Source organism: Homo sapiens, chromosome 10, assembly GCF_000001405.40.
Source record: "Homo sapiens chromosome 10, GRCh38.p14 Primary Assembly".
In the NCBI taxonomy this organism is placed as follows: domain Eukaryota; kingdom Metazoa; phylum Chordata; class Mammalia; order Primates; family Hominidae; genus Homo; species Homo sapiens.
The window spans coordinates 1660727-1684162 of NC_000010.11; the positions used below are offsets into that span (position 1 = coordinate 1660727).

General features: G+C 49.7%; 1 protein-coding gene across 1 annotated transcript in view, besides 6 other annotated features; it reads right to left on the reverse strand.

Moving 5' to 3' along the window:
* ADARB2 (adenosine deaminase RNA specific B2 (inactive)) overlaps positions 1-23436 on the reverse strand; it is a 560213-nt gene that overhangs the window by 483414 nt on the left and 53363 nt on the right. The window lies entirely within an intron of this gene.
* Positions 1921-2420: an enhancer, noted in NCBI's record as "H3K4me1 hESC enhancer chr10:1704841-1705340 (GRCh37/hg19 assembly coordinates)". NCBI's record gives its function as "activates a minimal SCP1, AML or CMV promoter by ChIP-STARR-seq in naive H9 embryonic stem cells {active_cell/tissue: H9 hESC(naive)}" and the evidence as "EXISTENCE:reporter gene assay evidence [ECO:0000049][PMID:30033119]".
* Positions 9517-10018: an enhancer, noted in NCBI's record as "H3K4me1 hESC enhancer chr10:1712437-1712938 (GRCh37/hg19 assembly coordinates)". NCBI's record gives its function as "activates a minimal SCP1, AML or CMV promoter by ChIP-STARR-seq in naive H9 embryonic stem cells {active_cell/tissue: H9 hESC(naive)}" and the evidence as "EXISTENCE:reporter gene assay evidence [ECO:0000049][PMID:30033119]".
* Positions 10019-10518: an enhancer, noted in NCBI's record as "H3K4me1 hESC enhancer chr10:1712939-1713438 (GRCh37/hg19 assembly coordinates)". NCBI's record gives its function as "activates a minimal SCP1, AML or CMV promoter by ChIP-STARR-seq in naive H9 embryonic stem cells {active_cell/tissue: H9 hESC(naive)}" and the evidence as "EXISTENCE:reporter gene assay evidence [ECO:0000049][PMID:30033119]".
* Positions 14025-14164: an enhancer, noted in NCBI's record as "active region_2903". NCBI's record gives its function as "activates an Ori minimal core promoter by ATAC-STARR-seq in GM12878 lymphoblastoid cells {active_cell/tissue: GM12878}" and the evidence as "EXISTENCE:reporter gene assay evidence [ECO:0000049][PMID:35858748]".
* Positions 18686-19186: an enhancer, noted in NCBI's record as "H3K4me1 hESC enhancer chr10:1721606-1722106 (GRCh37/hg19 assembly coordinates)". NCBI's record gives its function as "activates a minimal SCP1, AML or CMV promoter by ChIP-STARR-seq in naive H9 embryonic stem cells {active_cell/tissue: H9 hESC(naive)}" and the evidence as "EXISTENCE:reporter gene assay evidence [ECO:0000049][PMID:30033119]".
* Positions 19187-19687: an enhancer, noted in NCBI's record as "H3K4me1 hESC enhancer chr10:1722107-1722607 (GRCh37/hg19 assembly coordinates)". NCBI's record gives its function as "activates a minimal SCP1, AML or CMV promoter by ChIP-STARR-seq in naive H9 embryonic stem cells {active_cell/tissue: H9 hESC(naive)}" and the evidence as "EXISTENCE:reporter gene assay evidence [ECO:0000049][PMID:30033119]".

Here is a 23436-nt window from a genome sequence, read left to right on the forward strand (position 1 = left end):
CACCTTGGCCCCAAAGTCTCTGAACTTTTGATCCGCACTGTGTCAGTATACGTCTGGCCTTGCCTTCATTCCACTGCATGTTTAACCACATTCTGATAGAGCAGGAGCATCACCATCTTGGACAAACGCCACCATTTTAAGTTCTCCTTGATTAAAAACCACCTAAATCCAGCCCCAAAACATCAGCCTAATGGCTAATGTCAGCATGACCAGAAACATTCCAACCCTGAGATAAACCCCCCCTCTGACCAGAAACATGCCAACCCTGAGATAACCTCGTCTCCAAACAGAGGCATTCCAACCCTGCAATAAACTTTCCCTCACACAGAAACATTCCGAGCCTGCGATAAGCTCCCCTCCCTAAACCCTTAAATACCCTTAGTCTGTAAGAGAGTGCTCCTGACCGAAATCAGCCAGAAGCCCCTCTCAGGTTTATTTTCCAAAATAAACCTGTCTTTGACTGTGAAGCCACTTTTCATGTTTCCTTTCTTCTTTCTTTAACTCTTACACATTCCCCAGGCCCTGTCCCCGTCGTCACTTTCTCTGGGTCATAATTGGGTACATTCCCAGTGGTTTTGTGTACCTTAGCTAGAGGGAGGGTGGGTTTCCACGGTTTCCTGAGTCACAGATGGCCTATGTCTCACAGGTTATCCCTTTCTTCCCCACCCAAACGTCCTCTCATCTCATCTCCCAATAGAGGAGAAAGAGAATTAGAAAGCTTCACTGCCTTGGGCCAGGTTTCTTTCCTTCATGGTCTTTATTTTACAGGATGCCTTGGAAGTTGTCTGTCTGAAGAGGCAGCTAGGGTTGGGGGAGGGCCCCGGCAAGCACCTAGAGTGCAGACAAGTTAAGCAGAGGGTGGGCTTTAGCCAGGGAAGCAGAGCCAGGGTGGGGAGTACAGAACCAGCCCAGAGCAGAGACAGAGGGAGGGCACCATGTGAGGGTCGGCATTCACCGAGCAGACAGGAACCAGCAGTCACACTGCCCAGGATCCTCTTCCAAACCTGCCTCAGATAATGTCACAATCACTCCCATTGCACAGACAGATACTTCAGGCACTGACTTTCACACACTTGCCCTAAATTTCCCAAGTGCAAAGGGACGGGGAGAATCAGGCACTCAAGTCTCTGGGCAGCTTCACCGTCTTCCCTCTACGGAACCGCACTGCTGCTGGGGAGGGAAAGGGGCTAGGAGCTATAAATCAGGCTGAAGAAAGGGAAATGCAGGCACTGAGGCAGCGGCAGACGCTCTGACAGATGAACCTGCACTGCAGCTGCTCCTCTCAGGGCATGTGCATTGAGCCCAGGAGTCCCCAGGGAGGTCCACACCCTAAGCCCGGGACCCAGACATGTTACTTTTCAGCGTTGAAGGTGCTTTAAGGATGTGGTTAAGGTTACTGACCCTGCAGTGGGAGGATGTCCCAGACTATTCTTGGAAGGGTTATTGGCCCAATCCAATAACCCTTCAAAGCAGAGAACTTTCTCCCACTAAAATCAGAGAGGTTTGGAGGTGAGGGGAGCCCGGTCCACGGGTTTGAGGAGGAATTCATCCAGGCAGCCTCCAGGAGCCCAGGCTGGCCCCAGCGGAGAGGAGATGGGCCTCCATCCTCGGCCTCAGGAACTGAATTCAGCCAGCGCCCTGATTGAACCGGGGCAGGGCCCTCGGAGCCCCCTGCAGAGCTTCCCCATGGACCCCTTCCCCCACCCAGAGCCTGACCTGCCTGCTCTTGGTTCCGGCCTTGCAAGGGTTTTTCAGAGGACTCAGTGCAGCCACGTGGGCCCAGACTTCTGACTCACGGAACCATGAGGTAACAAATGGCATGGTTTTATGCTGCTTAGTTTGTGGTAATTTTACCACAGCTATTAAAAACTAGAGCGAGTTTATTTCCTGTTCCAGAACTGTCAAATCTGGGTGAGGCTAGGGTCTGCAGTGAACTACGGCCCCTCGAAACCCATGGCTTCCAGCAGGCCAGAGACAGAGGACAGCAGGGAGGAGTCCGCAGGCTCCGGTTGCAACAATTCACATCATTTCCGCTCCTGCTGTGACCACGCCGGGTGCCCAGGGTGCTGGGCAGGAAGTTGGGGCGACGTCTCCCAGCAGTGCCCCTCTAGGGGAAGAAGCACTGGCTCCTGACGGGCAGCGGCCACCTCTGCTCTGGTTTCTACGGACCAGACATTTGTACACATGTGGCCTGGGAGCATCAGCAGAACGCCAGGGTGTGACCCAGAGAACTGCCAATCAACCAGACGCGGAACACGACATCACCAGGCAGACACAGGACAAAGCTAAATTTAAGTCCAGTGGATGTGATTAGCTGCAATGTTCAATTGAATTATTTGGTAAACTCAGTTAATAAATTTTATAAATTCAATATATTTTATAGTGTGCAATTAAAGTATTTTAAAAGTGATCAACTATTTTAGAGCAGTTTTCGGTTTACAGAAAAGTTGAGCAGAAAGTACAGAGACTTCCCATACATGCCGCCTCCTTGTACACAGTTTGTCCTACTATTAACATCTTGCATCCATGTGCGCATTGATTACGACTGATGAAGCAGTATTGATGCATTATTATTGGCTCTATTTACATCTGGGTTACTCTGCGTGGTGCGGCTCTGAGAATTGCGACAAGTGCATCTCCCCGCCGTGGCTGCTACAGAGCGCTGCTACAGAGCGCTGCCACTCCCGAAACGCCCTCCGTGCTCCGCCTGCTCATCCCTCCCTCCCCGCCACCCCTGGAAACCATGAATCTTTTTACTGTCCGCGTAGTTTCGCTCTTTTCAGAACATCATAGAGTTGAAATCACATAGTTTGTAACCTTTGCAGATGGGCTTCTTTCACTTAATAATGTGCATTTAAGCTTTCTCTATGTGTCTTCATGACTTGACAAATGAATTTTTTTTTTTTTCTTTGAGACAGAGTCTCGCTCTGTCACCCAGGCTAGAGTGCAGTGACGTGATCTCGGCTCACTGCAATCTCTGCCTCCTGGGTTCAAGTGATTCTTCTGCCTTAGCCTCCCAAGTATCTGGGACTACAGGCACATGCTACCATGCCTGGCTAATTTTTGTATTTTTAGTAGACAGGGTTTCGCCATCTTGACCAGGCTGGTCTGGAACTCCTGGCTTCAGGTGATCTGCTTGCCTCGGACTCCCAAAGTGCTGGGATTGCAGGTGTGAGCCACCACGCCTGGCCAGGTCATTTCTTTTTAGCATGAAATATCATTCCCTGGTCTGAACGTGCTACTGTTTATCCATTCACCCACTGAAGGACATCTGGCTGCTGCCGAGTTTTGGCAATGATGAATAGTGTGGCTGTAAACAGCTGTTTCTGTGCAGTTTCTGTGTGCCTGTGTTTTCACGCCTGTGGGTCAGTGTGCGGGTTTGTGTGTGTCCGCGTTTCCATGCCTGTTGGTCAGTATGTGGGTTTCTGTGTGCCCGTGTTTCTGTGCCTGTGGGTCAGTATGTGGGTTTCTGTGTGTCCGTGTTTCCATGCCTGTTGGTCAGTGTGTGGGTTTCTGTGTGCCCGTGTTTCCATGCCTGCTGGTCAGTGTGTGGGTTTCTGTGTGCCTGTGTTTCCATGCCTGTGGGTCAGTATCAAGGTATGCACTTGCTGAATCGTATGAACAGAGTGTGTTCAGCTTTGCAGGAAACTTCCAGACCACTCTCCACAGTGGCTGCACCATCCTGCACTCCCACCAGCAATGAATGAGGGTTTCTGTTGCTCCACATCCTTCAAAGACCTGACCTAACGACCCACAAATGCTGCTGTCACGGCTTCTTTCTAAGAGGCTTCACGGTCCAGAGAAATGCATTTCACGAATGGCCTTTAGCAGTTGGTAAGAAGAATTGCTGTTTACGGCGAGCAGGCTGTGTGCTGGGCATCTCTCATGTTCATCATCTCATTTCATCATCTCGGTCGTCTGGTAGGAGTGCACTAGCCTCCCTCAATTTCTGACAAGTAGCTGAAGACTGGGGAGATGAAGTAACTTCTCAAAGATCACAGTCAGCAGACGGCAAGGGGAACGTGGGACTCCCATGCGGCTGACTCTGGGGGCCCTGCCATCCCCAGCCTAGGGCGCTGTGTGCTGCATCCTCATCGCTCTGTTGCCAAATGGCTCCTCAAGACTGCCAGAGTTCTTCTGTGCCCCACTGAGTTGCGTGGGCTTAATTGCTTAGAATGAGATGGCAGAAGAAATGTTGAGAAGGGAAATCAAGAAAACAGATGGCATTCAGGAGGCCACAGAACCGAAAGAAAGAACACCAGGGACCCATGAGATTCAAGGTGAGTCATGCCGACACCTTGACCAGGGGCAAGGGGGAAGGAGCCCCCGTATTTTGTCATTAAAATCTCTAGAGTTGCCAGAACTTCTTGTATTAAGTTTCACTTTTCCCACAGGAAGTACTGGAATCATAATTAAAGGAAAAAAAAGCTTAGGTCACTGCTAACTTCCAACTTCAACATCTTTAATTTTAGTTATTTCCCCTGGCTCCCTGGCTTATTGCCCTAGATCTTTCCTTAATATTTAAGACTTCATATAACAATTAATATAAAAGCTTCACCGCCGTTTCCAGCTCATTGGAAATGCACGTGAGTGGGCGTTGTGCGCAGACACTGAGCGTGGCTGGGGGAGACGCCACAGAAACAGAGGACGCACCCCGACGTGGGGAACTCGCATCCACCCAGGGAACGGCACACATCTGCCTCCACTGCCAATGCAGGAGCACTGGGCCCACCCGAGAGGACCTCCACGAATGCCTTCTGCATGCGGGGCACCCGAGGCCCAGAGAGGGAATCCCCAGGCACCCCACCCAGGCGGTGCATAGACAGTGCTAGGCCCTGCATGCCGGGGTCCAGCCCAGGGCTGTGGCCTGTGCCAAATGCCAAGAAGCAATCGTCTACTGGGAGGGGAAATGTCAGCCATTCTGAGGCAGCTCAGGGAAATCCAACTCCTCGGTCCTGAGGACATCAAGAGAAAAAGGAGTGATGGCACAGGCCGGGGTCCGGGGGAAGGGAGGGGCATTTCTCTGGGAAGCCCCTGGAGATGACACTTCCCTGGGGGCCTTGTGTCCCCCAGAGAAGGCCTCAGGCCAGTGGCATGGATGCTTCGAAGGCTTCTTGGGTTTGCAGCATCTCAGGGCTCACCAGAGGCCTCCAGGCCCACAGTAAATGAGGGTGCGGCACGGGGGCGTCAGAGGACGGACAAGGATAGCACAGCAACGAAGCACTCCAAGGGCTTAGCCCGACATTCAGGGACCCACAGAGTGGCCTGCAGGGAGCTGGGGCCCAGCCACAGTCCTGCCAGGTGGAAGGACCGGGCATGGAGGCTCCAGGCTGAGACCAGCATTGGATAGGGTGGGTGGGCAGGGATTACTTAGGTGCCAATAACCCAGGAGTAGAGGAGATGGCACCGCTATAAAATGCCACGAGAGGTGCGCACAAGGGTTCAGGGCTGCATAGAACCGGGAGGGAGAGGAAGACCCCGCTGGAGCAAGTGCCAGGGTGACAGAGCCAGAGGACTTTCTGAGATAGCACAGCCCCGAGGGTCGGCAGGGCACTGAGGGCCACCTGCCCTGCCTGCCCCGCCAGGGCGAGCATCTGAATCCACATTCTCCTGGGCCGCAGCTCATCTGCGAGTCGGAGCCTCCGAAGGGGGGCCAGTAGCACATGTCCCAGCCTCTCTCGCCCAGGTGATCCTCATGACCAGACGCGGCTTTGCTACAAGACAGCTCAGACTGTGTTCCCCCAATCGTGTTCCCGCAGGAAAGCTGCCCGAGGATTTTTGTCATGCACACGCCGCTGCCAGCCCATTAGCTCTCCCTGCTTCCCATGGTCTGCCGCATCTGGGGTATCCAGCGTCCTCCTGCAGCCGAGGGGGAATTCTGAATGTTTTGCTAGAAACCGTCTCATCAACATTCAGTTTCCTAACATTGGTTCCAATCCTGATTTTTAGCTTCATTTTTTTTGAGGGGCGAGGGCATCTGGGCACTGGAAATGCGGGAACCCACACGCAGCTCATCCACCCATAGGCTCTGACATGTTTAACTTATATCTGAAAGACTCTGAGACTCGAGATGGCCAATGTTTAACGGCATCAGCTTTGACCAGCACAGTTGCAATTATTTGACATGATGTGTTCAACCCATCAAAGTTGACCAAGGGTTTTGTAGACCCATTTGCTCAGGGTAACATAAGATCTTTTGACAAACATGTCTGTTTACGTACTTTCAGAATTTGTGTAGACTCTGAAAAGACCCCTGATGTAATCTACTAAAAACATAGAGGGTTTTTAAGTTATTGTTATGTAATTAACATCTGTAACGGCAGTTGACTTAAGGAAATGTCTTTGCACTTACAGTAAGTACATTTGTGTGAGGAATTATTTGCGTAAATTGTCCCAAATAGAATTTAATTTAAAAGCATAGATTTTATGATCTTGCTCATGAAAAGCTGAGAATGATGAATCAAACATTAAGTTAAATGTCACATGATAATTAGTCAGATATTGCGAGCTTACAACTAGGATCTTTCTGATTCTCTGTCTCTTCTTTAGGCATCAGGACTGAATCATATGTTTTATGAGGCCTATAAAACATGCAAACCTCTGATTTAGCTATTTTTAAGGACTGTAGAGACACTCAAATTTGGTGTATTTAAGTTGAACTCACATATAGGATATGTAAAATTGCATACAAAATTGCAAATGGGGTTCTCTGTAAATATGTTTGCTAATGAGAATATTTTAATTTCATAGATCATACCAGGAAGATAAATCATCCATTTACAAACAGCAGTTGCTTAAAAGATGTGGACTAGGCAATTTTTCCATCTCCAGTGGAACTGAGAGGTCCTTGTTTTCACAGCTGAATATTCAAAGGGGTGTTTACCATAATTGGAGGATGCTTGACAGTTTATGCAGCCCACACTTAGCAGGCTTCAAAATACATCCTGAATTATTTGTTGCAAACCCCTAGATAAACAAGCAAGAAATGCTGCTCAATTGTCCTAAAAAGCCACAAATTAGAGGTATTTTGGGTTACTCATAGTGATTTCTGAATGCAGTGGTAAAATTCTGATTTCCATTTGTATTAATTCTCTTTGTGAACTTTAAAAGAACTATCTTTCAAGTTTAATAACCTTTCTGAAAAAAATCATAACTGTAGATATTAACCTGAAACACAAGAAAATGGATCAGGTGGGGCATCACCTGTGAAGCCTTGTTGGGAATATGTTGGGTGAGAACATTAGGTCACTTCTCTCTGACAAGGACACCCTCCTTGGCTAAAGGCTGGTTGGGTCCTGTGAGCCCTCCCTGGATGAGGCGTTAGCAGGAATCCCGCTGAGATAGTGGGCTGGACGCTCACCCTCACCCTTAGTGATATTAACCGAGGGCCTCTGTGATTTTCTCTCCAGGCCCTCGCCCCACCACTCGGCTGTCATCCCCACTGGCCGCTGGTGCATTTGGACTTGGGTTCAGTCTCTCTCTCCGGTTGCAATAGTTTTGAGTGAAGTCTTCCTTCTTTGCTTAACTGGTGTCATACAATTTTTCTTTTGCATGTGTTACAACTCATTAGAACCCAGTCATGTGACATACTGCTCCCTCTAGGAATGAGGCACAAAGGACATTGGAACAGTCAAAATACACTTCTCAAACTTTAGGCACTGACATGTGTGCTGTTAGTGCAGTGGAAAACCCCTCAGATATGAATTCAGAGACAGTTTGCCAATATTTTAGTTAAGCATCTACAAAGCTTGGATTCGTGTGTGGTTTTCCAAGTCCCAGGGCATGCAAATGAGCCAATTAGAAGCAGTGGTGGGGCTGATCGGCTCACTGGAGGTCAGGAAAAGTGGTGTGAATCACCCACGTTCAGGTCAAGAACTCAAACAGCAAATAGCAATTAGGGCTGAACACTGAAGGGACCAACACTGTCACCATCTCAAGAGGCCCCGTGTGCACTGTTCTGCGGCACTTTATGAGAACCAATTTTCATAATGATAAGCCCTGGTCCCCAAGGAAAGATTGATTTATGTTTCACATATTTATTAATGGAAGGAGAAGGGCATTCTAATCTGTTCGAGAGCTTTCTTTCTAAATAAAACAGTCCTCCCGTTGTGCTGCTCACAGGCTGCTTCTGTTACATCCAGGAGGACCATCTTCTGTGAGCTCCTGGTGGCAAAGGTGTTATTATGTGTGACAGAGCCTGGTTAGGTGGCACCAGCCCTGTAGGAAGGACCAGTGCAGTAGCTAGTTTATTTTCACCTTGGGCTGGTTGGCCGTGACCGTCTCCCCTTGGCCCCTGGGGCTGGCCTGAGGACAACACTGGGGAATTACAAATGGAGAGGACATTTTATGCAGCAAGCCAAGCCCTAGCCTACTGCCTGCCTAATGTCACAGTGAGATGAGAAGCCCAGGTCTGCAGGGTGAGGTGGTACCTCCCAGGTGCCCTACAGGTGAGAGTCCTCATCAGGGCTTCACCAGGATCCCTCAGCTCCACGAAGAGCTGTGCAGGGCTAGTGAGGCCTGAGGAGATGATACCACGCGTGTCTCCCAGGGGGGTTGACACCAACCCCTAGAAGGGAACAGAGGTCTCAGAGTCAGCCGATCCCGAGGACTTGAAAGTCAGGCTCCCTGGAAGCTACCACCACCCACCTGCCTTGTGTGAAAGCAGCACACACATAACACATAGAGACACACACAGACACACACACAGACACATGCAGACACACAAACAGGGAGACACAAACACAGACACAGACACACACACACTCACAGGGAGACACAGCTAGACACACAGACACACTCACAGAGAAAAACACAGGCACACTCAGAGAGACACACACAGACACAAACACACAGACTCACTCACAAACACAGACACACTCATACAGAGACACACAGACACAAACACACACAGACACATGCAGATACACACACAGGGAGACACAAACACACACAGACACATGCAGACACACACACCCACAGGGAGACACACCTAGACACACACAGACACACAGAGACAAACACAGACACACTCATAGAGAAAAACACACAGACACAAACACACAGACACAGTCACAGAGACAAACACAGACACATAGACTCACAGACACACAAACAGACACACTCATAGAGACACACAGACACAAATACACACAGACACACTCACCAAGACAAACACAGACACACCCATAGAGAGATGCACACAGACACAAACACACACAGACACATGCAGACACACAGACACATGCAGACTTGCACATGGGAAGAAACCATTCACGTGTGGGTACAGGGCGTCTGTGAGTCTCACACTTGACCGTGTCTCCAGTCTGGAGCCTCAGGCCTTCATGAAGCCTCCCAGGTTCCTAGGGGGAAGACATAGCCTCTGTGGAACCCTACACTAAACATTTTGAATATTTGGAAAGATATCTTTATAATCCAGCCAATATCAAACCTTCACTTTCCTTCTGTTAGCAGCCAATATGTTTGCGTATAATTTTCATACTAGTTTGTGTCATAGTAAGTTAAAGAGATAGTATTTGGAAGGTTTTGCATCAAGATTTCCTTCCTAGCACATGGAATTTCAGAAATAATATTTATTACATTTCCCAAAGTTTGAACAGGGGTCCTTAGAGGACTGAACCCAGCAGCAGATGGATTTTACTTAGGGCACATTATTTCAAAACATTCAGATGATTCATCAGCTTATAAACTGAGATTTGTTCCAGTAAGATTTTGGCTATTGGCTTCCCTTGAAACACCAGGAGCTCCTGCTTCCTTGAAACTGAGTTACCACTGGGAGCAGTTGTCAGATGCTGACCGGCAGCCACCCCTCTCCCAGTGGCCCCGGCCCTGCCACACATACCAGCAGCCCTGCCACACTTGACTCATTCCTGGAAGGAACCTGGTGCCTGGACACCTGAGTGTGCAGCGCCACTGAAGCTCAACGCTTACTGTCGCTCAGGGCCTCGAGGCTCAGAAAGTGTGTGACTTAAACACGTCACGGAGGCCGGGCACACAGTGGGGCCAACACTACGGCTTCCTGAGCTGTCCAGCAGGTTTCTGCTTCTCAACGCGGCCCTGCCTGGTTCTGTAAGAGCAGGAGCAGGAGCAGGTGATTAGGACGTCTGCGCAGGAGCCGTGGCAAAAACGCTTCCAGACAATGGGGAACTCAGACGTCTGGAAGGGACGGGGGCAGAACGTCAGCGCCACAGACAAATGTGAATCAGGCTTATTACACATCTATTGAGTGAGTCAGCTGCACACCTCAAGCCTTTTCCTGATTCTGATTTTTAAATGGAATTTCAAATTCTTTCTTTGAAAAGAAAAGGAAAGGTCAAATACAGGTAATTTCATCTCCGTGCCGCGCATGCACATTTCAAATACAATCTTCCAGCTTGCTGCCTGTTCTCACACCTCCCGGTTACTTCTCCTCTTCCCAGGGACCCAGACGGGGAGAGGGTGCTGGGCGCCGGCAAGCCACAGCGTCTGCTCTCATGATCTCGCCCCCACCCGCCTTGGGCCCCCAGAGGTCTGTGCTCCGCTCCTCTTCCTCCTCAGAACTTTCTATTCATTACATCCCAGCAGAGCACCTCACCACGGTTGCCCCAGGAAAGGATGCATGTGTGGTTTTGCTGTGCTTTTTGTTTACAAAACTGATCATGTTGGTTAACTCCAGCCCAGATGTTGCAGAGGTTAAGTCTGCTATCAACCTGGAGATGTTCGGAAGGAGACAGCCATCACCACCCGTCACACCTGCTTTGCTGCTTCTGGTAACATGCATTTGCCTGCAGGCTCAGGGCACGTGGAAGGAGGTGTGAGATAGAATCGGGACAGGGCCAACTTGCCCATGGAGGTGGCATCTCCCTCGTGCTTCTCTGGATTCTGTCACCTGTTCCAGTCCTGGGAATGGGCTGACAATTCATCTCCTCGTTCTGTGCCTATAACATTGCATTCCCAGAGCATCGGTGCCACCTTTCCAGCTGCGACAGTGTACCCTGTGTACCACATCCAGTAACCTGCAATAAGAGACGCTCCATACGCTGCGTCAAATTGAGGAACATGCAGCGAATCTGCCACAGACACTGACACCACGTCGCACCGAGATGCCCAGGAAATCAGGAGTTAAGGAGACGTCGCTGCTTCCCTTTTCCCTTCTCACTTGCACTGGGGGGGAGTGGGGTGTCTGTACCTAAAAGCCCTTTCTCACTGGCTGTCTTTCGGCAACATACTTGCTCTTGATTCACATGCCCCTGTTCATGCACACTTCGGGGGGCGGAGGGGCAGAGCCCTACCCCATCCCCGAGAGTCAGTGTGTGAGGTGGGCATCAAGCAGAGCCCTACCCCATCCCCGAGAGTCAGTGTGTGAGGTGGGCATCAAGCAGAGCCCTACCCCATCCCCGAGAGTCAGTATGTGGGGTGGGTGTGGACAGCGGGTGTGGACAGCCTGCCATCGTTTTCCTCTCTCTCTGTCTCCACGGGCACTGCCAACGCCCCGTCTTTCAACCTCCTTTGCAGCTTGGGGCTCCTGTGGACTGCGGGCTGCCCAGGGATGTGCTGTGGGTTCCTGGGAAGGGCGCTGGGGTGTCGAGCACCTTGGCCATCCTAAACTTAAACACCACGCGGGCTCGTAATTAATCCTTCTTGAAGGAACGCTGCTGATTCCCTCGACATTACCAACAATCTGCGGTTGAACTACAGACATACACCCAAGCGGGCATACTGAGAAGGAAAACAAAATCCCTCCGCCAGGAAGGTCCACCTCTGACGGATGCCGCCTCCAGGCCGCACTTCTCCAAGAGCCCGCCTTTTCCTCTCTGCAGGCCTCGCGCAGCTCCTGCCTCCCCCCATGCACGCGCTTCGCCTTCCTCCCTCCAAGCCCCGCGCCTGCCTCCCTCCATGGACACACTTTCCCCTCCTCCTTGCAGGCCCCGCAAGGCTCCTGCCTCCCTCCACGCACGCACTTCCCTTTCCTCCTTCCAGGCCCCCCGCCTGCCTCCTCCACGCACCGCAAGGCTCCTGCCTCCCTCCCTCCACGCACACACTTCCCCTTCCTCCCTCCCTCTAACACATATCCAGCAACCTCCACGTCTGGTTTTCCTGATGGAGTAAGTTACTGAGGACAAATCATTTTACAAATGAGACAACTAAGAGCTAGAAATGGAGAGTAATTACTCAGGGTACTGCACAAATCCATAGGAGGGAAACACACTTTTAACCTACGGGTTTCATCCAGGGCTTCTCAAATGCCACTGCACTTAGTTTCCAGAGACACCAACAGCCCGGAGGGGACCAGGGGGATGAACTGAGGCGTCTGTTTCTGCCTCAGACACACAGTTGTCGGCTGGACCAAATGGGCTTCACCTCATTCCTTTTGGTGTAGCCTCTCCCAGGGCCAGTAATACTGACCTGAGAGTTGATGGATAACTTGAAAAGTCTGTTATTCTGGCATTGGGAAGACTTCCAACTCACATTGTAAAAACATGAATTTTATTATAATAAAAAGTAAATATCGTTCAGTGAATATACATGTATATGTATAATAGATCATATATATTTCAGATGCGTAACAAGTGATTTGTAGATTTCATTTTATGTGTGTGTGTGTGTGTGTGTGTGTGTGTATGTGTGTGTATTTAGAGGCACTTTGTAAGTGGGCAACTTATGGTCAAAGTCTGGGACTTAAAATATCCTAAATGAACGTTCATAATTTTTTTTAAGGGAAATATTGATGAAGCCCTGTCGTTGAAACAAAAAGTTTGTAAGGATAAATCTTGCAAAATGATTTCTTTACTTTCTAGTAGTAGTCACAGAAACAAAGAAACACGTCGCTTAGACCTTATTGAAGTAGCTGCGTGGGAGACACTTGATTATTCCAGGAAAGACACATGGCAGGATGAGAGTGTGAAAAATGAACACTGAGCACTACGGGAACGTCGGATCATAACGATGACGAAGGAAAGGGCGAATCCCTCCAATGGAGTCTGCTGCATGGACAGGGCTCAGGACGGGGAACAGGAGCCTTCAGGGCTGAGGCCGTGCAGCCACTGCCACCGCTCACTGCCAGGCAGGCCTTGCTGGGCATACCAGGAGGGGCAGCTGGGCTGTGTGCCCACTCAGCCACTTCCGGGATGGGATCCTAGGCCGGTTACCGACTTCTCCCTGCCTTCATCCTTTCATAAAATAGAAGCAGCAATCATATCTGCTTCATATTAAAGAAAGGTTATTGGGCAGATGTTAGAACAGCCAACATAAATGTGTTAAATGTGCAAAACTGAGAATAACAACCAAATAATGTGTTAATAATCAGAGAGAGGTTCTACAGGAGAAGGTTTAGCTGCTGCAATCCCCTGAAGTCGATGTCAGACCTGAGGGCTGCAAGGAGGCCACTGGGAACGGCCCCGTCGGCCGGGGGCCCAGGAATCAGCCCTGTGCAGAGTGCATTCCGTAATGTGTGCACCTTCTCTACTTCAGAAAAAAATATTCTTTGAAAGATCCATTTTTTAAAGCCTCCAACCCCCTTGTGAGAAAATTGGCAACTGTGGGGGCCCCCGCAGCCTCAAATTTACCAGTCCTACGGGTGTGACTTGAGAGGGAGTTTCCTGCTGGATTTCAATGAATGGCTGCGTATGTTGGCACTGGCTGCACTTGGCTTCCTGGACTTCCTTGGTCGGCATTTTGGAAGCTTTGGGTGGCACTGAGATTTTCAATAGGAGCTATTTGTTATAATATGGGCTTGACCAATATTGATCTGGCTTGTAGTAAAAAGTCAGAATAAAAAGCGTATACAGCCTAGCATGAAGTAGTCACGATCGTGATTTGATAAACTGTGCAGATATCGTTGGCCAAAAACCTCAAGTTACTCCTGTCAAGCCCTTTGGTTGTGTTGCGGTTGGGAGGTCACAGGGTCCGGTTTTGATTTCTAGCCTTTAGATCACCGTGTGATGCATCTCCTCTACCTGACCGGTCCCGGAGGTCACCTTCCACTCACTCATCAACTGTAAGTGAGTAAAAGTGGCGAAAATCATCATGGGGAAGTCCAAAACCTAAAATAAAAAAACTGGGGAAAGTTTAAGTCATTCAAGTCGGAAAGCCCCTGAAGACCTTTTCTGCTGTCTGCAAGATTTCAGAAGCAATGGGCCTTGTTCAGGAGGTTTGGGTTCAAGGATGCATGGATGTTCTGGAGGTTTGGGTTCAGGGATGCATGGATGTTCTGGAGGTTTGGGTTTGGGGGTACACGGATATTCTGGAGGTTTGGGTTTGGGGGGTACATGGATATTCTGGAGGTTTGGGTTTGGGGGTACATGGATGTTCTGGAGGTTTGGGTTTGGGGGTACATGGATGTTCTGGAGGTTTGGGTTAAGGGATGTGTGGATGTTCTGGAGGTTTGGGTTGCGGGGTACATGGATGTTCTGGAGGTTTAGGTTCAGGGATGCATGGAAGTTCTGGAGGTTTGGGTTCAGGGATGCATGGAAGTTCTGGAGGTTTGGGTTCAGGGATGCATGGATGTTCTGGAGGTTTGGGTTCAGGGATGCATGGATGTTCTGGAGGTTTGGGTTCAGGGATGCATGGATGTTCTGGAGGTTTGGGTTCGGGGATGCATGAATGTTCTGGAGGTTTGGGTTTGGGGGTGCATGGATGTTCTGGAGGTTTGGGTTCAGGGATGCATGGATGTTCTGGAGGTTTGGGTTAAGGGATCCGTGGATGTTCTGGAGGTTTGGGTTGGAGGTGCATGGATGTTCTGGAGGTTTGGGTTTGGGGGTACATGGATGTTCTGGAGGTTTGGGTTTGGGGATGCGTGGATGTTCAGGAGGTTTGGGTTTGGGGGTACATGGATGTTCTGGAGGTTTGGGTTCAGGGATGCACGGAAGTTCTGGAGGCTTGGGTTGGGGGGTACATGGATGTTCTGGAGGTTTGGGTTCAGGGATGCGTGAATGTTCTGGAGGTTTGGGTTTGGGGGTTCATGGATGTTCTGGAGGTTTGGGTTCAGGGATGCATGGATGTTCTGGCTGACAGCCTGGAGACCTAGGGCTAGTTACTCAGTCTCTGAGCTGGTGATGTCTCATCTGTAACAGGTGAGATAACAAGGGAGGCCTTTGCAGGGAGTGAAGGGAAGCCGTGTCTCTGATCCCTGCAGGAGGGCAGAGGCCAGCCTCAGCTCTGAGTGGCAGCTCAGAGGAAGGGGCTGCAGAGGTCCGCGTGGGTCAGAGTTGAATCTGCTCAGACTTGGAGCCCAGTTAGATGAAGATGTGGAGTAAGGGCTGCATCCCACCCACCCCCGACTTTGGTAAGAGGCTGTGAGTCAGGGCGCGTTTCTAACTCTTGACCTGAGCCCCTGTGCACAGGTGCTTCTGAGTCCAGGATCCATCCCTGAAGGTTTGCAGGCATATTAGGACAAAATTGCCATTTTGGGTCTTGGCAAATGTGCAATATGAAATTAAGTGAGTTAATCGGTAGTTGGGAAATTATTAGAGAGGCTCAAAGTCCCACTTCTGCTGCAGAAGAAAATAAGAGTCCCTGTTTTCTCAGATCTGTCCAAAACTTTCTGTGAGTGCAGCTCACAGACCCAAGGGCCTCTAGACGCCCCCACCCAGAACTGCTGAGTGAATGGTCAAGGCTTCCTTAGATAGTCCTGGCTTGTGAACCATTGACTTGTATAGACTTAGATATTTTATACATTATTTAAAGTTCATGAAGGCACCATGTTTGAAGCATATTTAGACATTGCTTTTAAAGAAAAATAGCTTTAATGGTGCACCTGAGAGTGACATAAGCATAACCATATTATCTTTTAAATGGAATTTTCCCCCTTCATTTTTATTTTTGAGATAGGATCTTGCAATATTCTCCAGACTGGGGACCTCTGGGCTCAAGCAATCCTCCTACCTCGGCCTCTGGAGTAGCTGGGACTACAGGCACCACCATGCCTGGCTTCCCTGTCATTTTTATCTCAATTGTTTAGAAGTTTAATGGGAATGAAAGAAGAGGGTCTTAGAAATATTTAGGTGATTGTTTAAAAACTTCCAAAGACCCTACTTCCACGGACACTCGTATTATTCATTTTAATTTTTTTTAAGATGGAAAGAGTGTTTCAAGGAAGTGAAGTGATGGTCACAGGGGAAGCATGAAGAGGATGGAGAGAAGGTGGGTGAGGCCCAGTGAGTGTCAGAAACTCAGACCTCATGGGTCACTGTGGAGTGGAGGGCCCACACATTTCTTCAGCACCAATCCTGTTTTCAGGGAGACCCTCTATCTGGGGAGGAGCCCCCCTGACCTGCCTGTTCTGGAAAACAAGGACCCTTCACACTTATCAGGCAGCTTACACATCCGCTTCACCCCAGCACTAAGGAGCAAGGCTCAGGGCCTGAGGCCATTTCATCAACATGCTTAGTTTAATTTAAAGAATAATAAAGGAGCAGGCTTGGAGTGGAAAACCTGCACATGAAGGTTCAGACCAAGATAACTGTTTCCTTCCGAAGGCTCAATTTCTGTTTGTAGCTGTGTTTGTTTAGTGCCTTTGGAGGAATTCCTCACTAGAGTCCTTAAACTGAAGCTGCCGACTCGGACCACTCTATGCTTCAGCAGCAGGACTTGTTTTAGGCTTGCAAGATGGAAACAGGTGCAAAAGGTTTGTTTAAAGGGAGCCTCCCCTAAATGATAGAACATGCTGGTACTGGGTGGGGCTGGGCTGGTGCTGCCTGGTTGGGCGGAGGTGAACATCTGCCCAGGAAGGGGTGTGCAGGGCTGTCAGCCACACTGAAGGGGGTCCCAGATGAGAGGAGCCCTGGGGAGGGGCAACAATGGGACCTCCTAGGAAGAAGGCAGGAGTGTCCTAGCCGGGACCCAAAGCCACATTCCTGCCAGGTGGAGCTCCTCCTGGCCTGCTGGTGCATCATGGATTTGGAGCTCAAGAAGGCGGCTGTCTACCTGTTGTTGGATTCACTTTTTACCTTTTAGATCCACACTACAGCTATGTATTTGCATAACTCAGCTTTGGCTGTCACAGAGGGGAGCAGCTGTGCCCATGGCTCCTGCACCTGCCCTGGTCGCAACACACACAGGCTGAACTCGGCAAGGCTGCTCTGTCTCTGCAGATCCAGGCTCTGTCCCACCTCCTGCTGAGGGACAGCCGGCAGGCCAGGCTTCCCTCACTCTCCCTAGGAAGCCAGGTCAGTTGCTCTTTTAGCATGTATTTTGTATTCAGTAAATAAGGCTTTATGTCTTTTCACAGATAGCAGAGAACGACCACATGGTTACAAGCATGCTTTTTCCTCCAATTCTTCCCTGTAAACTTGGATTCTGACATCCAGGAGACACCAAGGGAACAAACTGGATAATTGGAACTACACCACAGGCCTAGTGGTTTTAAAGGCCAATTTCTGTGGCTTCAAATTCCAAAGGAATGGGTGAGTGCAGATGGCAGGGGCTTGGCTGAGGGGTCGGTCACCCAGCAAATGCCCAGGGCAATGCCACAGGACCTCAGGGTGAGTGGCCTCAGGGTGAGCGACCTCAGGGTGAGTGTCCTCGGGGTGAGCATCCTCAGGGTGAGGGACCTCGGGGTGAGCGTCCTCGGGGTGAGCATCCTCAGGGTGAGCGTCTTCAGGGTGAACATCCTCGGGGTGAGGGACCTCGGAGTGAGTGACCTCGGGGTGAGCATCCTCGGGCTGAGTGTCCTTGGGGTGAGCGTCTGCGCACCTTCCCTTTCAGCACTCAGGACAGTAACGAACACAGGGTCACACTCAAGGTCACCGAGAACTTTGGGGCATGCAGGGGGGCTGCCTGGGCTTGCATCTCCTTCTCACCTGCTGGCTCTCTCCTTTTCAAGTCGCTTTTTATCCTCTACAATATCTTGAAAGCTCAGAGCTTGAAAAGACTTGGGGGTGCTTTACCCTCCCTGGAGTCCCTTTTACGGGTCTGGTATGGTTAGCAAGCTGCCGTAGTTCACAGCCAGGGGCCCAGTTCTTTTTAGGAGAGCACCTTTGCTTGCAGGTAACTCCACTGTGGAGTTTGCCCGAGGTGCAGCTGGGCAGTAAGTGTGGCCCCTTCCCTTCCACATCTCGGCTGTTCCAACACCGAGAAGCTGCTTTCGTTTCTCCACCAAGCCCCCTCTCCCGGGCACTTGTCCCTCCTGGACCCTGCTGCCTGGGGTTGTCTTGCCCACCAGGTAAGACATGTCCTAGCACAGAGGAGGAGAGAGTACAGGTGCCCACGTGGCTAGAGGTGGTGCTGGCTCCCTCACGGGCATTCAGGCCAATGCCCACTGGATGCAGACATGAGCGAGTGAGTTCTCCTGTCCTTTCCCATCAGCTTCCATCAGTCACGATTTGGGGCAATTCTCACAATAAGAAGTGCAGGCCCTGGGCCCCATTTCCAGAGAGGCAGCTTTAAACAGCAAATATGGGGCAGTTGGTGTTTCATCTTTCCGAAGATAACCCAGCTGTGGAGAGAGAAAAGGCATCGAGGAGCTGCCCTCTCCTTCATCCTTGGAGGGGCGACCACACATTCCAGCAGCTGGGGACTATCCTGGCCTCATTATTAATAGTGCCCTCTCTCACTTTTCCGAGTGTCCTGGTTTGGGTGATAAATAATGTGGGCACCCTATTTAGAGGAGATCCTGTGCCGGGCACCACAATAGCCAAGGAGTCTCTATTTCCCTCCCTGAATTGTCTCATCAGACACATATCTTTCCAAGCAGAGCTAATTAGAATTTTGCATAAATGGAATTAGTAATGAGAGATTTACCCTTGTGCTATTATTTTGGCTTGAAATCTGTCCTGGACCGAATGGCTGATTTCAGTCAAGGTGATCGGGTGCCACTTGGTGCAACTCCTGGGCCCTTAAAATCTCATTTCATGTGACCTGGCTAATTGAGGTGTTTTTATGTTAATGCCTCATTATGGCCATGGTGGGAAGAGCTCCAGTTACAGGATGAAGAGCACTGTCCCCCAGGAGCACTCCGGTTTCCAGAGTGTACAGCTGCAGACTGTTCTGACACACACGCGGCGTCTAAGCCACTGTGCCACGATCTGTCGTTGAATGAGGAGATGTTCCAACGACTGGATCGCTTGGGCTCAACACGGAAACTGAGTGCAGGGGATGCCTGCTGCCTGGACGACTGGAAAAGCCCGTTCCTCCTTAGTCTGTGGGTTGTCACTCTTAACATTGCTGACATTCCTTTGGCACGCTGCACTTTCTCCCCCTTAGAAATGTTCAAAGGCAGGAAGCTCCCTTCCCACAGACTCCAGTCAACAGCAGGCCCAGAGCAGCCTTAGCCACTTAACCTGCCAGGCAGTGCTCCAGTGCCGTGGCCAGCGACCCCACTCCCCCAGGCCTCCCCAGCCTGTTTGCTTGGCACCCATTCCCCTACATATTCTTTCCTGTGTAACCCGCCACTCATACAAACTGCCCTACATATTCTTTCCTGTGTAACCCGCCACTCATACAAACTGCCCTACATATTCTTTCCTGTGTAATCCGCCACTCATACAAACTGCCCTACCTATTCTTTCCTGTGTAATCCACCACTCATACAAACTGCTTGGTGTTCTGGCCAATTCTGAAGCATTCTCTCATCATCCATACTCTGTTCCTGAGCTCCTCCTTTTCCTCTCCTGCTTGAAATAACCTTTGGGTCCTCCCTCATCTGCTTCCATCTTTGCCCATCAACACCCTTCTCCACCCACATACATACAGGGGGCAGTACAGTGTCCTCCGTAAAGACTGCTGATCGTCTTAGCCAGGGCTGGTCCCCATCACCTGCCAGGACTCCCGGGCCATGCACTTCCCACAGGCTGCATTATCTGTGTGTGTGGGCGCTTTTGGAAGTGGAGACAGAGCCTAGGGTATTTTCCCACAGTGTTCTCCACCAAAGAGTCCCAAGAACAGGGCATCCACTGAGGGACTGAAGGAGCGAGTGAAGATATTTACAGCTTTATTAGAGAAAGGCTCATCTGTCATTTATTACCTCCTCCCAAATCTTCAGGACAGTTTTGCTTTAATAATTCACTGTGAGTGTGCTTGGGGAAAATGTCTGATGCTGGCTTCTGGCTAGAGGTAACTCAACGTAACAGGCATGTTTGGGTCATGCCAGACCCTGGGGTGAGTTTTCAGGACACACACATACACTTGAAAAATAAAAACTCTCCTTTTATAGTCTACGAAGGCTGCAGCAGGGGACTGAATCCTCATCAGATCCCATAATAATCTTAATTGTTCTGGCCAGAAATGGGCAACTCCGTAGTAGAACACAGTATTCTCACGCCAATAGTGACGGATGTGTGTCTATAAACAAGGGGTTAGGGACCCCCCTGGAGTCATGACTTAAATGGGCCTGAGAGAAGTGGGAAGCGTCAGGTTTGAAGGCAGCCCCTGGACAGGAATAATGTAAGGACGCAGCAACCTCATCTTAGGAATGAAGTGTAGTCTTCTCGTTACAGAAGCTACCTCCGCCTGCAGACACACCTCCAACTCTTTTTTAGCTGATTTATTTTGCTCAGGGAGAAAAAGTTTACCTTGTAGTAGCAATGAAATAATTTTTATGTCCAAGCCATGCAGAGCAGAATGCATTTCTCTCAAATTCATTTCCTCGAAGCAGTCTATTCTAAACCAGAACACATGTGGTATGGTTCTTAATGTCCTTTTTCCCAACAACTTGTGGAAGAAAGTTCTCAAAGAAAATATTGTTAGGCCTGTTATGACTCCATTTCTTCCTGTGACGAGAAAGTCTAGAACTTAAAGAGGCAAACTAATATAGCTTAAAAAATATTAAAAAAAAAAACCCTAAACCAGGAATTAGGCCACCTAGATTCTGGTCCTGGCTCTGCAATGAATTATCCATGTGACTCTGGCAAATTGTTTGGCCTCAGGGTCATGGTTTTCCCACCTGTAAAATGAGGTGATCGCAGGGCATGGTCCTGTGGTTTCTAAGAGCTCCACTATTCTGCAATCCTCCAGTGAGCAGAGCTCTCAGAGACCCTGTGGCTGCACACAGGGCTACTGCTACTCTCAAGCAGCCCAGTCCAACTTCACAATGGGGCCTGATAACATGCATTTTACATGCAATCAAATACCGTCACCCAGTGAGGCCCGGGTGTTTGGTGTGGCTCCCTGCGAGCAATCCTCCCAGCCACAGAGTCGTAGGTGAAAGTGCAGCACACTCCGCAGAGACTCAAGGGTGTGAGGGTGCATCTATGCAGGGAGTGAGGGCACCTGAGTGTGGACAGGTGGGGCAACAGCAGGGCATGGCAAAATGAAATTCCCGAGCTTCGGTGCTGTCAGCCAGAATACAACATTCTTTCTTTAACAGACGCATATTTATGTGCCATGCAGACCCTGGGTGCTGGCACAAAGAGATATTTAAAATTGCTTTGAAATCTATTTTCTTAAACAGAATCACTTAACCTGACTCATGAAGGGAAGAGTTGCAGTCAGTCAGGTGCAAAAATCATGAATGAGAGCTCCACAAAGATGGAAGAACATGGAGGAATAAGAGAGCACTGGGCGTCGAAGACCCAGAGGCCTCAGCACGAAGCCAGCAGCTCATCCACAAGCTCAGATGCAAAGGAAGGACCAGTGTCTGTGCCCCTCCCGGGTTTCCTCCCATGCTTCTGCAGAGCCACTGAGGGTCTCGCCTAGAGGAATGGCAGCCAGATGATCTGCCAAATGAAGAAAGCTGCCTGGGAAGCCATTTGCACTTTAAGGAAACCAGTATCCCCTGAAAGTCGGTCTTAGAAACCAACCAACCAAGCAAAAATGACCCCAAACCAGAGACCCGAAAGGACCACGGGTATTGGGTAGTCTCTTTGCTTCATCCCCTCGGTTGGCCATTCTTTTCTGTGCAACCTGGGATTAAGCCGGGTTCAGGGTGTAATTTCCGAATGGCAACTGCATCTCCCACTGCAGTTAGCGTCACTCAACTGCTTCTCAGGGTTCAAACGCATTGTGTCACTCACAGCCTCCGTTAGCAAGACCAGAGAGCAGAGGGGTCCCCCAACACCGTGGCCAGGCGTGTCCTGGGAAGGGGTTGAGAACATTACGGTGACTGTAAGAAATTTAAATTGCACATATTTACAGAAACAGAATAATATTTAAATCAGTATGTAATGCAGACGGCCAGGGGCAGATGGGTTCTCATGGCATTCAGTACCATTGTGGCAAGGGCTGCAGATGAGAGAGTGAGAGGCCGCAAAGCCCATGAGGCCAACACCTGATACAGCTCTTTAAACACAGCCCGAATGCCGGCGGTAACACAGCACCGCGGAGGTGGGCTAAGAAGCACGTGGTTATCGAACGTTGTCATTCATCACAGCTTCATTTGCGTGGAAGCAGAGATGACTATGCTGCTGCAGACAATGTTTTGTGTGCTTTTCATGCTTTACTTATGGGATAGACATGATTTCTCATTCACAGAGGAGAACAGTGGGATATTTGTGTGAGTTCACATAGGGAGAAACAAATAGCGCTAGCATTCCTACCGAGATAGGTCTGACCCCAGATGCAATTCACTTTTCCGAGGATTTGGGCATCTCTTGGTTCTAAATTAAATCTTATTTCTGAGAACTTTAAAAATGTGCTTCATAAGGAATCCAACTGACCTGATTGAGCACATTTCGGGGAACATGACTCTAGAAGGATGAAGCGAGGTATGGAAAGAAGAAAACCAAACAAACTCACATGAAAAACTTCTTAATTTATTCGAAAGGCAGAAGAAGTAGTGAGCTCGAAAGATTTTGCAGTGATGAAAAGTTCAGAAACTCCCAGTTTCTGGGTGAACTCCTTGAAGGCTGCAATGCACAGGGTCAAGGGGTCCGAAGCAGGGAGTGGAGTCTGTTTGCCCTCAGATCCGCTTGGGTCTTTGTGCCCAGAATGGATGCTGGTGGAGAAACACTTGGTGTTTTTGTACCAGACTCACCAGGTAACTGTCGCCGAGTCAGAGCGGGTCATGGCAAATGTTTAGTGGGTCAGCCTTACACACAGATCTTATTTTGAGATACCAAGATGGATAGAAAGGAGAGAAAAAGACATCATGACTGTTTCTGAAGAAATTGTAGCTTGGAAATGATAGCTTGGTTTGGATGAGCAGAGAAACGCAGGCAAGGAAAAGAATCACATAAGAAGGCGGTGGGGCTGAGTCCGAGGCCGGATGTGAGGGGTGGACTCTGTAAACGGAGCCTCCCTGAGTCAGAGGAGACTGCACCGAAAGGTGCCCTCTCAAAAGGACTGTGCAAAGGGTGGCTCCGGTGTGCGTGAAAGACCACCGCCAAAGAGCCGGGATCCCACACTAGTGTGGATGCCTGTGCGCTGTGATCACAATGAGACAATGATAAGACCCTCTTCAGGGAGTGAAGTGCGTTTCAAAAGCACATCTTAACGAATTTAAATAGGAGAAGCAAACTATGGAGTGATCCTTCAAAGCACAGAAGAAAACTCCATCTATAGACTCCA